Source organism: Homo sapiens, chromosome 13, assembly GCF_000001405.40.
Source record: "Homo sapiens chromosome 13, GRCh38.p14 Primary Assembly".
Lineage (NCBI taxonomy): Eukaryota > Metazoa > Chordata > Mammalia > Primates > Hominidae > Homo > Homo sapiens.
Window position 1 is genome coordinate 50640491 of NC_000013.11, and position 14236 is coordinate 50654726.

Here is a 14236-nt window from a genome sequence, read left to right on the forward strand (position 1 = left end):
CAAGATTTTCTGAAATACAACTTGACAAATATTTTTATGTTGTACTAAATTAAAATATTTTCCAATGAAGAGAAAAAATTCTAGGCAAACTTGTCTGGTTGTGGTAAAAAAAAAAAAAGAATACGGATGACTAAATCATCATAATTTGTATTCCAAATGCAGAGAATGGTGAATAGGAAGAATATCAAATAGATAATTCATGTTTTTAAAATTAATGTCCCTATTGAAAGCCAGCCATACAGATTTATGACAGATGACAAATACCTTCCAAAAAAAAGAATGGTCCTAGTGATGTTTTTTTCCATAATAAATAGACTCAAAGTAGAAAAATGGGGAATAACTAATTCTGAAGAAGGTATTTTAATGTCTTTATTTTCTTTTTCAACTTTTACTTTAGATTTAGCAGGTACATGGGTAGCTTTGTTTCCTGGGTATATTGCATGATGCTGAGGTTTGGAGTATGAATCATCTCATCACCCAGGTACTGAGCATAGTACCCAATAGTTGGTTTTTCAGCCCTTGCCTATCTCCCTCCCTTCTCCCTCTAGAAGTCCCCAGTGTCTATTGTTGCTGTCTTGTGGGTACCCAATGTTTAGCTCCCAGCTATAAGTAAGAACACGTGGTATTTGTTTTCTGTTCCTGCATTAATTTTCATAGGATAATGGCCTCCAGCTGCACTCATGTTGTGGCAAAGGGCATGATTTCATTCTTTTTTATTGCTGTGTAACATTCCATGGTGTATATGTACCACATTTTCTGTATCGAATTCACCACTGATGGGCAACTCAGGTGTTGACTCCATGACTTTGCTATTGTGAGTAGTGCTGCAATGACCATTCAAGTGCATGTGTCTTTTTGGTAAAACAATTTGTTTTCTTCTGGATATATATCCTAATGGGATTGCTGCGTCGAATATTAGTTTTGTTTAAGTTATTTGAGAAGTCTCCAAACTGCTTTCTATAGTAGCTGAACTAATCTACAGTCCCACCAACAGTGTGTAACTGTTCCATTTCCTCTGCAGACTTGCAACAACTGTTGTTTTTGAGAAAAGTTTGTTTTTCAAATGATTATTAAGAATCCTTTGTGGAAAAAAATCTGCAAAGTCCAAAGGCCACGTGTGTGTGTGTGTGTGTGTGTGTGTGTGTGTGTGTGTGTGTGTGTGTGTGGTGAGGTGAGGGTGGCAGAGGGTGGTGGTGCTGGGTATGGGTGAATATGGGTATTTGCAGGGGAAAGCTTGGGTGGGCTGGGGTAATAACAGCATTATCTTGCATTCTATAAAATACTCATCTGAAATTCAAATGCCTCCTTTCTCTAAGGAGCTCAGCTTCCTTTATAAGCTAAGCTTTCCCAGGTAGGAAGGAGGAGGCTCTGAGCTGACTAATTACGGATGAACTTGTCCACATCACTGAATTCCATTATGAAAAAAAGTGTTAGGCCAACTTTCCAACAGAACTCCTGGGTAGAAAGTCCCAGATATCAGGCCTGCCAAAATTATAGAAATGTAGATCCCAGGAAATGCAACTCCAGGCAACTGGCTCTGCCCCGGAAACCAAGAAGAGAGTGAGGAGGAACAGAGGAAGTCAACACTGGCTGTTGGTGCAGGAATTTTGAGCCTCCATGCAGATTCCAGAGGATGGTGGTAGAGATGTCAATGGAGATGATTGCCTATAAACCCAAGAACAGCTACCTGCATTTGCTCATCATGGAACTCACCAGGGTTTAATACATTGAGTTATTGAATTATCTGCCTCCAACCTATTGATTTATCTACTATGAGGGCAGAGAGAACACATCTGTCTTATTCCCTGTAGTATCCACAATGCTCAATATACATTTAAGTGTACATGTCCCAACTCACCTGTGTCGGTATTCTGCCCTTCTTCCTGCTACCAGTGGATGAACTGATCCTGCCCCTATCTCTAGATAGCTCAGTTGGCACACTGGATCTCATCGTCCCTGTCCTGTACAAGAACTTTGATCCTGCAATTCTTCCCTTTTTCTTTGCATCATAATTTCTCCCTCTATACTGAATTATTCTTATCAGTATCCAATCCCAGTGTAATATTTCCCATTTTTAAATAAAAAAACCAAAACTCTCTTAGATATTACGTACCCCACACCAACAACCATTCCATTGTTATGGTCTTCTTAGTAACCAAAATCTTCAAAAGTCATCTCTACTCACTGCTTTCATCTCACATTCTGCCCTCACCCACTGGTTCTCTGCAACTGTGTGTTGCGGGTCGAGTTGTGTCCGCCGAAAAGACATGTTGGACCTTATTTGGGAATGGAGTTATCACAGTTGTAAATAGTGAAGATGAGGTCACACTGGAGCAGGGTGGGCCTTTAATTCATTATGACTTGTGTCCTCATTGGGAGAGGAGAGAAATACATGAGGGGAGAGTGCCATGTGACAATGGAGGCAGAGATTGGAGTGACATGTCTACAAGCCAAAGAGCCCCTAGCATTGGCAGCCCACACCAGAAACTAAGAAGAAGCAAGGCAGGGTTCTTCCCTAGATCCTTCAGAGAGAGCATGGCCCTGCTGACACCTTGATTTTGGAATTCTGGCCTCCACAGCTGTGAGAGAACGAATTTCTGTTGTTTTAAGTCACCCAATTTGTGGTACTTTGTTACAACAGCCCTAGGAAACAAATGCACTGTGCATACATATGCAAGACACCAAGGATCTTCATGTAACCAAATCAAATGATCACTTCTAATATCTTATCTTACGGACCTCTTAGCAGAAGTTGAAACAGCTGACCACTTCCTCCTTGACGCTGTTCTCTTGTATCCTGGAACTCTCCATTGGCCTGGTATCCCTCCTACCTCACTGTCCTCGTCTTCTCAGGCTGCATTGCCAGCTTTTTCTCCATTGCTCAGCTTCTAAAAGTTTGAGTGGCCCCAAAATTAGTCCTCATACTTGTCTTTCCTATTTGCACTTTATTTTGCAGTTTTGCGGCTTTACATGCTGTCTGAGGTCAAGAACTGCACAATTTATGTCTCTAGTCAGAGCCTCTCCACTGAACTCCAGTGCATGTATTTCTATTGATGTGATATTTCCTCTTGAATGTCTGAGAGAAACATGAACATTTAACCTGCTGTCTTAGTCCATTTTCTGTAGCTTGCAACAGAATACCTGAAACTGGATAAGTTATAAGGAAAAGAAATCTGTTTCTTATAGTTATGGAGACTGAGTAGTCTAAGGCTGAGGCACCACATCTGGTGAGGGCCTTCCTGCTGGTGGGGACTCTCTACAGAGTTCTGGGGCAACACAGGGCATCACATGGCGAGGGGGCTGAGGGTCCGAACTCAGATCTCACTTCCTCTTATAAAGCCAGAGTCCCACTCCTGTGATAACACACTAATTCATTAATCCATTAATTCATTAATCCATTAACCCTCTGACCCAAAGACCTCTTAAAAGCTCCTCCTCTCAATACTGCCACATTGGGGATTAAGTTTCAACACAAGTTCCAGAGGAAACAAACATTCAAACCAAGGCATCTGTTCAAACCCAAACTCTTGATTCCCACTCCCAAAACCTGCTCCTGTCTCAATTAGTAAATTGCATCCAATTGCTCCAGCCAAAATCCTAGAATTCATCCTTGTTCCTTTTTTTCTTACATCTCACATCCAATGCACTAGACTGTTGTGTTGGTTTTATTTTCAAAATATATCCTGTGAGCCAAAATAATGCTCCATAGCTTGGCAATCAATTTATTCAGCAAATATTTATTGAATACCTATGTGCCAGACACTGCTCTGGGCACCAGAGTAAATAGCAATGAGTTAACAAGCCAAGTGGAACATACATCCTAGTGGAGAGTGTGAGATTGTGAACTAAATAAATATGTAAACATATTTAAGGAAGTGATGATGTAGAGGGAAGAAATAAACCAAGATAACCGGATGGGAGTAGGGGAGACCGGGACAGAGAAAAACACATACCCCGAATCTGACAATTTCTCACCATCTTCATCATCACCACCCCAATCTAAGTCAACATTGCTTTAGATTAATGAGGCAATAACTTGTCTTGCCCCAAGCAATGTGAGAGCCTTCATACCAGTCTGTCTGCTTCCATGTTTGTTCCTCTGCAATTTAACCTTGACCCTGCAACCAGCATAATCTTTTAAAAATGTTAGTCACATCAAGTCACTATGCTGCCAAAGGCCTCCAGAATAAAATCTGACTTCCTTCTAGTGGCCTGCAGGCTGGTAACAATCTCCTGTAAACTGCAGCTTGCTCAGGCTACCTCAGCCACACCTGCCTTCCGGCTGTGCTTTCTGCACACCAGTCTGGTCCTGCCCAGGCCTTGCTGCTTGCTGTTTCCTCTGCCTTCTCCAGTGTTCCCACATCTTCACGTAACTTGTTTCCTCATCCCATTCATGCCTCTGCTCTATGTCAGCGCTTCAGGGGATTGCTCCTGGCCACTTTATTTAAAATAACACCTGTCCACCACTATTCCTTTAGCTTGGCTCGTACCTCTATAACATCTATTCCTTCCCGTCGTTAGATTGTTTGCTTATTATTGTATTACAAACTAGAATGGACACACCTGGAAGGCAGGAATTTTTCTTTGGTCACCACTCTGCTCTCAGGACAGTGCCTGACCAAAAGTCAGAATTTAATAATATTTGTAAAAGAATGAATGAGCCTTGACTTCAACATTTCTTTTGAGACATCACAGTGACCTGCATTTAACCTTTAAGGAAATAAGACTATTCCTCCTCGGCTGCATACTTGTCATAATTGTCAGATTTTGTTCTCTGAGGATCTTATGAGTCACTGTTGTCTGCGGAAAATTGTGGGGATCCTAGACTAATACCTTCACACAAGATCATCCAGTCTAGTCCTTGACTTAAGACAGATGCCCTATCGAGTTGCCATCCTTAACTTACAGTTGGAGTTCTCATTTTATTCTACCTGAACTAATTTTCTTTCTGATAGAATATTGTTGATGACTTCATGGTCTCCACGCTGTCCTTTTTTCCCCCATTGGTCTCTCTCAATGAGGGGCTGAACCCGCCAGCAGGTAGAGAGTTAGAGACATTCACCTGTGACAATTAACACCCTGTTGACTTTGCATAAGTATCTTTAACCACCAAATCAGATTACTATTCCTCTGAAGAGGCAGTTAGGATGCTTTGATTTTTTTTTTCTAATAGTTGATTTTCACCCAACTTTCTGGAATTCAAAAGAGAAAATCTTGCATGAGGGGAAAATAATGCAGTTCTTGCCTTAAGAGAAAGTGAATGACCCCTTTTGGGCTTCCTTCCATTTCCATACTCCTATGAAAACAAACTGGCATTTGTCCCTTAGGATTTTCTCCATACCCATACAAGAATACTTAAATATAGGATTGTTGTTTGATTAATTTTTAGAAAACTTCATATCATCCTACATATATGACTCTACCTTGCTTTTCTCAATTTATGTTACCTTATGGATAACCCTGTAGTGAAAACAGGTAAGAGCTCTGTTACTGTTTTTAAAAGTAGCATGAGATTCAATCATACACATGTTGCTACAGTTTATTCACCCATTCTTCTATGGAAAGACAGAATTTCGCTCTCTGTTCACTGTTGGTTGACAAGCCCCATTCCATGACTGTAGTCCTATTGAGCATTTCAGATAACTTGATTTGCTGTTGAGTGTTTTTGCAGAAATTCTGACTCATCATCAGAACATGGAGATTTGCTTGAAAAGGTTTTCTGTGCTTTTCCCTAATGCCCTGAGCTTCCCTCTCCCTTGCCTTTGGTCTCATGAAATAATGTGGTTAGGCAGTGTGAGGTGGTGTGCCGTGCATTCCATGGGACACAGACATCCCATGTGTCGTGAGCAGAAAATAGGCACACAGCAAAAGCCTGGCGTCCAATGGCTGCAGGCAAATTCCAGCTGTGTTTCCAATTAACTGTATGATCTTGGTTAAGTAATTTTCCCTTTTAGGGCCTAAGTTGCTTCAGATTTGATTAGGGAGTTGGGTAAGATAAAACTTTCCAGTTTAGGGAAACTATGCTCCTGGGTACACAGCAGCTAAGGATTCTTGGGCTACAAGAAACAGGGAGCATATTTCTATGACATGTAATTTCATAAACTTTTAAACATTTAAACATTCATGGACATATTATGACATACAATGAAAAATCTATATAAATAAAACTAAGATATGAGAACCCAAAGAAAATCTCCAGTCATGGAGAGAGGGATTGTGATGCTTGTTTTTTTTTTTTTTCTCTCATCATTATTTACAAAGCACTGAGCAGAAACATCCTACTAGGTCCTTCTAGCTCCAAAAATGATGAGGCCAGGACAGTATTCATTCCAAATGCATCTGACTCTCAAGTGAGACAGTAGCTATGTTTCTCAAAAGGAGTCAGAAGTTCAAATTATGCAAGTCAATGAGTATATTTTTTAGTAGGTCAGACCCCAAAAACAATGATGTTCTTTCCCCCACCATAATGTATTATTTAGAATAATTCATTCATTTTCTTAAGGTTTTCTTTGTTTTTACTTTAAGCTCCGGGATACATGTGCAGGATGTGCAGGTTTGTTACATAGGTATACATGTGTTATGGTGGTTTGCTGCACCTATCAACCCATCATCTAGGTTTTAAGCCCTGCATGTGTTAGGTATTCGTCCTAATGCTCTCCCTCCCCTTGCCCCCCACCCCCTGACAGGCCCTGATGTGTGTTGTTGCCCTCCCTGTGTCCATGTGTTCTCATTGTTCAACTCAAGATAATTCATTTATTTAATAGATATTTACAAGCATCAGCTCAAAGAGGAAGGATGTAAGAGAAAAGGCGTGTGAGAGACCAGAGTGAAGCCTGAAGGGGTTGGGAGGGAGACCATGGCACCTGTGGTGAGAGGGGAGGGCAGTAGGAGACGTTGCTGCACAGGGAGAAGAGCTTGCCTGGGCCCCAGCCTGGCTGACCCAAACCTAAATGGTGGGGCTGGGCCCAGGCGTATGTGTTATTTAAAGCTTCTAGATGACCTTGATGCCCAGTGGGAACTGTGAAGCACTGATGTGGAGCCTGATTGGGTCTTACTCTGAGTGAGGTAGAAAGCCATCAGTAATTTTTTTCTCCATTTTTTATTGTGATAAAATACCCATCACATACAATTTACCATCATAACTAGTTTTAAGTGCATAGATGAATGGTAATAAATACATTCACATGCTTGTGTAACCATCACCACCATTCATCTCCAGAACTATTTCATCTTCCCAAACTGAAACTCTGTCCTATTAAACCACAGCTTCCCATTTCCCCCTCCCCTGGCTCCTGGTTAGCAGCATTCAACTCTGTGACTCTAGGAATTTGACTCCTTTAGCTACCTCGTATAAGTGAACTTGTACAAATTGGTCCCTTTGTGACTGGCCTATTTCACTTAGCACAATGTCTCAAGATCCATTCATGACATTGCATGTGTCAGAACATTCACTTTTTAAGGCTGAATAATGTTCCACTGTATTGATAGACCACGATTTGTTTATCCATTTTTCAGTCAGTTGAACACTTGGGCTACTTCTACCTTTTGGCTGTTGTGAATAATGTTGCTATGAACTTGGGTGTACATATACCGCTTTCAGTCCTTGCTTTCAAATCTTTTGGACATGTACCTAGGAGTAGAATTGCTGGGTCATATCTGACTTGGTAACTGTTTGTAAACTGAGTTAGTGTGGGGAAACACACAGAATGTGTTCACTGGGACCTCACTAGTACATTTGTATTGCAAATAATATGTCACAGTTTTAGGGTGAGTTGAGATTAAAAACAAGATTATATCTGGGTTAGTTTCAAATCTCCTTTACCATGTATTAAATACATTGTGAATTCTAATCATGGATTAAAATTATATAATACTGATATGGTTTGGTTCTGTGTCCCTACCCAATCTCATGTTGAATTGTACTCTCATAATTCCCATGTGTTGGGAGAGGGACCTGGTGGGAGATAATTGAATCATGGGGGCGGTTTCTCCCATGCTGTTCTCATAGTAGTGAATAAACCTTACGAGACCTGATGGTTTTATAAGGAGCAACACCTTTCATTTGGTTCTCATTTTCTCTCTTGCCACCGGTATGTAAGAAGTGCCTTTCACCTTCTGCCATGATTGTGAGGCTTCGCTAGCTACGTGGAACTGTAAGTCCATTAAACCTTTTTCTTTTGTAAATTGCCTAGTCTTGGGTATGTCTTTATTAGCAGTGTGAAAACAAACTAATACACATATATACATAATATTTTACATATTTATGGGATAAATGTGATATTTTGTTACATATATAGAGTGTGTAATGATCAAGGCAGGGTATTTGGGGTATTCATCACCCTGATTATCATTTCTATGTGTTAGGAAAATTTCAAGTTCTGTCTTCTAATTACTTTGAAATATACAATATGTTGTTGCTAATTATAGCCACCCCACTCTGCTGTTGAACATTAGAACTCAGCATCAGTGAATTTTTGAACAGATCTTCACCAAGGTTATGGATCACTGTGGATGCAACCTTGAGAACTGACCTCAGGGAGGCAAGGATGGGTGCAGGATAGGAGGCTCTCCTGATAGGAGGCTGCTCCAATAATCCAAGTAAGACTTGATGTGCTTCATTGCCATAGGGTTGTGTTACTGGAAAGGGGTCCCAATCCATACCCCAAGAGAGAGTTCTTGAATCTCATGCAAGAAAGAATTTGGGGCAAGCCCACAGATTAAAGTGAAAGCAAGTTTATTAGGAAAGTAAAGGAATAAAGTAAAGCAAGTTTATTAGGAAAGTAAAGGAATAAAGAATGGCTACTCCATAGGCAGAGCAGTGGCTTAGGCTGCTCAACTGAGTATACTTATAGTTATTTCTTGATTATACGCTAAACAAGGGGTGGATTATTCACGAGGTTTCTGGGGAAGGGTTGGGTAATTCCGGAACTGAGGGTTTCTTCCCTTTTTAGACCATATAGGGTAAATTCCTGATGTTGGTATGGCATTTATAAGCTGTCATCGTGCTGATGGAAGTGTCTTTTAACATGCTAATTCATTGTAACTAGCATATAATGAGCAGTGAGGATGACCAGAGGTCACTTTCATCACCATCTTGTTTTTATTGGGTTTTGGCCCGTTTCTTTACTGCCTCCTGTTTCATCAGTAGGGTCTTTGTGACCTGTAAGTTGTACCAATTTCCTATCTTATCCTGTGACTAAGAATGCCTGACCTCCTGGGAATGCAGCCCAGTAGGTCTCAGCCTTATTTTACCCAGCCCTTATTCAAGATGGAATCGCTATGGCTCAAACACCTCAGTTTTTATCCGTTGTAGTGGCGATAAATATTGCAATCTGGACATATCTGTGAAGGTGAAGCCACCAGGATTTACTGCTGACTGAGAAAACAAAAAGCAAAAAGTTTATGAAAAAAGTGAACATAGAAAATGTTTATTTTTGAAATGAACAAAAAATACTCTCTGAAATATCCCAAGAAGCCACAAAGAGCATTAGCTTTTGACCATTGGCTCTGATGTTCCCTGTCTTCTTTATGATGAGAATTCTCACCACCATTTTTGGCCATGGCCACTGGTGTTGCAGACTCAGCCCTTCCTCTCCTCTGGGCTGCATTGGCATGATTTTGTCTTACCAGCAGGTAAAGCCTGAAACCACCTTTTTCAGTGGGCCTAGAAACTTCCACTTTGTCTCTGAAGATGAAAGCCATGTGCTGCTTCTCAACTGAGAGCCTCTCTGTGATGTTAGAGATGTTTTGCAGCAATGGCATTCTCTGGACATGCACAATACCACTAAGAAGACCAAGTTCTGCCCCTTGTCCTTTGGTGGCTCTCCTGAACTACTCTGCTAGCATCAGAGCCTCCAAAATTTTAGTAAGTGTTTCAGTGTTTTAAATTGTGTTATTCTGCAATGAGTATGTCTTTCCAAAAAGGATTTGACCTACACCTTCAAGCCTGTGATGGTGAAAGCATTGATGCATCTGCTTTTCCCATCTGCGGTCTTGGTACCTGGGCTTTATTTAGGGGTTATCCTTGAGAATCAAGAAATAGCCTTGAAGTCCTTCAAATAAATGAAAAACAGATTGGGGTTGGGGGTGTCCCTTGCATGTGACAGGCATTTTAGGGCATGTAGCTATAATTAATCTTGCTTTCAGACTCCTGAAAGTGAAGCTTAGTAAACAGCGTGAATCACAGAATACTCTCGTTGGTCAGCCCCCTTTCAAGGGTGTTAAATGTCTGGCTTGGCACTTTGTTTTATTTAACTAACTTTTCAGCCCGTTTTAACACGTGGAACCTCCTGAAACCTGAGCCAGAGAGCCTACAGATCTAGCTCCATTTCGTTCTGGTCTGTCACTTTAGTGTTAGCATTTTCCTCACTCTTGTTTCCAGTTTGAGTTATGAAACCATTTCAGTTCAGTTTTAATAACCTCCCTGGCATGGCAAGTGCTGCAAGAACTGCCAAACTTAATGCGTTGACTCCCTGTGAGGAGGGCAGCAGGGACAGGGAGGTAGACTTTCTATAAACGCATCCGTTTTCCATTACAGCCCTTTCTGACTTGATAGCAGGCTGCCAGGTGCAGCTGGTTTCCTCTTCTACATGCAATCACTTTTGACTTTGGTTTCTGAATTTCCCTGTCTCCTGACTCATGATCCCTTAACTAAATAAACTACCTCGTGATGGACCTTCCTGCCTGAGGAGTGCATCCCAGGGCTCAGAAGCCTTGAGAGGACTGAACTGCACCCTGAAGGACAAAATTCAAGCTGGTGACTTCCACATGTGTTTTGTGAAGCCTTCATGACCACCATAGGGAAACAGCTGCACTGGTGCAGAGATAAAGCTGTCTTTGTAGAATAAAAGCAGGATTCTATCCTAAAATTGATTTACATCTGAGCTGCAGGCACGCTACTGAAGAAAGCTCTCTGAATCTACCCCCGTGAGAACTTCCCCCAGCCACTCCTATGCCACAGAACAAAGGCCAGGGTAGGAGTTCAGATCTCTATTGTTCAGCCTCATCCTTTTCTCAGAATCTGTGTTTATATAAGACACTGACACACTCATCTCATTGAATAAAAGACACAAATATTTTATTTCTTATGAAATGTTCAATAGACCATAGATTTCATGGGCTGGATTACAACATAGAGACACCCTACTTTAAGCTGATAAAATACATGAAATACCAAATTCATAGTTAAGGCAATGTACAACACAATTACTTGCTTTATAAAAAAAGTGGCCGTAAGACACTTTAAATATGTATACTCTAGTAGAGAAATAAAATACTACAATTTCTTTATTCAAATAAGTTGAACTATTCCCATTATGAAAATAGTAGAAAAATAGATCAGGAACAGAGCCAAGGAGCTGCCCAAAGCGGTATATACATTCTCATTTGGGAATGTGGACACCTCTAATTTCCTTTGGAACCTCAGCTTAATCTTATTAAATTTCCACTAAAATTCTCTAGGGGAATTCAATGATGGGGTTAAAGGGTCAAGTTTTCTCCGGGTTTTGCTACTTCTTAGTGAACACTTTGTGGCCTCTGGAAGTGGAGGGAGCAAAACCTCAGAGAGTGCAGAGTCCCTGTGTGCAGAGAGGGCAGCAGCTGGGTGTCTCATCACCTTGCAGTTCTCAACCTTATGTGGTGGGGGGTGCCCCCGGGTGACTTAGTCCTGCGGGCCAAGACTGCAGGCTGCTGCATGAATAAAATAGACCATGAGTGAAGTCTGATTCTGCAGGTGCTAGCTGAAAGCCCACCACTTTCTCCCCTGCTCAGGAAAGTGAATTAGAATGCTAGTGAACAAAAGAGCTGTTATCATAGGGATGTCCTCTTATTGGAATCTACACTCAGAGTTTTTATATATGTTACCTAAAAACTTTGGTATACTCTAACTGTTTGTAGTGATAACTTACTCGTTCCAAACTCCCTCCACTTCCTGAGATCTGCTGGTGCAACCTGTTATTGTAAGAGTATGGGATGGGGACCATGGAGGCATTTCCCTGTCCCCTCTCATCCAGAGTGAGCTAGGCAGGGGTAGCCTTCCCTCTGGACGGTTTCAGGTCCCAGCAGGCTTCCAGGGAGGATGGGAGCTGCGGGAGGGAATATGCAGGGAAGATTGTTGCAGAATCTGGAAAACTGCTCTCAGCTTTCATATTTTTTGAGCTAGATCCTCTTGCCTCAGGCTGCCCTTGTGTAGGTAGACACCCACCACTCCCACCCTACCAGGTTTTGTTTTTGTCTGTTTTTTTTTAATTTATTCTGCTGCCAATGGTCTTCAAAGCATAAGAGTTTTCATATTTCTGAAACATCACAGAACCTTCTAATTAGCAATATTTGACCACAAGGAGTTGCAGCTTCTTCTATATATCTCCAAAATAGCTAGACTTTTGCAAGTTTTTAAAACCCAAATTTTAATTTGTGGGCATATTCTTTATTTGTACTAAGTTACAATAAGCACAAATTCTTTTGTAATATTGAGAATTATTTTTAAATTGACCAAAATTATTCACTAAAGAATTATTTTCCTTAAGAAGAAAAGAAAATATTGTAGCAACAAAAAAGGGGGTCTTGAAAGATTAAAAATCTGCTGATATTCCAGCTTTACTCCTCTCCCCTCCCCTGGCTTCTGGGGCCACCTACAGAATTCAGGCTCCTTGAATGGAAACTATTCTGGAACATGGAGTGTGGGGTGGGGGGCAGGGGGCTGCTTTGGTACAGCAAAGCTATGTGTCTATTTGAACAAAGGGAAAAGAAAAATGATTTCATTGTCCATGAAGTGTCTTCAAGAAAAATAAGTCATGGGGAGGTCTGGGACAAGGGCTTCCAAACCTGGTTTTGCAGAGTCCCCTTTGGGGACAAGAAGTGGAGATGGGGAAGAGAGGAGAAGGGGGGCAAGAAAAGGTTGACTGGGGCAACTTCAGCATCCCTCTCCCGACCAGAGAAACTCCACTTTCAGGAAAACACGAATTATTTCATTTTATTCAAACAACTGTGTGTATAGGTGTATAGGTGTATAGATATTTTCCAGGCTCATTATTTGATATCAGTGCTCTAAATATTGTCATCTAACACCAAATGCAATGTAAAGTTTTTGAGAAAAATCAATTGCATTTCTAAGAAATTGGCAAAATGACCATTCTCCTATCTCCTAATATTACTGTTACTACAGAGAATGGAGCAAAGTCTAGATTATTTAAAAATTGAAAGTAATAAAACTTTTTTTCTAGGTATGGGTAACTGCACTGGCTATTGAGAGATCAAATGATATGCACCTTCAGGAACTCTTCCAGCAAGAGCTACTCAGTGAGGAGACATTCATCATTAGCACATTCAGAAATTATAGCTCTGATATGTTTTCTGGGTGGCCGGATGCAAAGGATCATCCATAGTTATGAAAACTCAAGAACAGGGAAGTCAATTAGTATATTTATAAATCTGTATTCCTCTCCTGTCAAGGAATCTCCCTGTATATGAATGATAGCTGTGTCCTTGATTTGAGTAACTCTTTTTCCTAATCAAAAGAAACTCAAATGAACAGGCCCATATGTCTTATCAGAACAAACTATCCTGTAATAAAATGGAAAGAGGTTTTGAAAACTTGATTGTTAGTGTCCATTAATATCTTTCAAGCAGGTACATGGTATAGCATGTAATTATAAATACAGATTATAATGGCAGGCAGTATTATCCTTTAGAAAAGAGGGGATGAAACTAAGTAATTCCCTTCTCTATACTAGACACTTGTTGAAGCAAAGTCTACCACGATCTGAACTCCTCAAAGTGCATATAGTCTACTAAGGGTATCTGGCTTTTACAATAAAAAAGGTACCTTATGTTATAAAACCCGTGCTCAATAGCCTTATTTCTGGTGATTAGGAGAGGCACCAGTGGTAAAAGGCTCAGAGGAATGGCAGAAGGAACATGGATTTTGGAATTTGACTAGTCTAGATTCAAATCCCAACTCGTAACAGAGTCATCTTGGTAAGGTATGAAGCCAATATTTCATAAGTCTTATTTCCTCATTTGTTAAGTGAGAACAAAACTCCTCATCTCATAACGTCAAATGAAATAGGGAAATCATCAAGTTGAGACTTGATGCCTTGCGTACAGCAGACACTCAAATATATGAGGTTAACTTCTTTCCTCCTCTTCTTACAGGCAGATTAAGAAAGGATGTGTTAACTTATCCAGTGGTTAAGGTTAGGAATCTTGAAGATTCAGCAAGTCTCCCTTTTCGTATTTT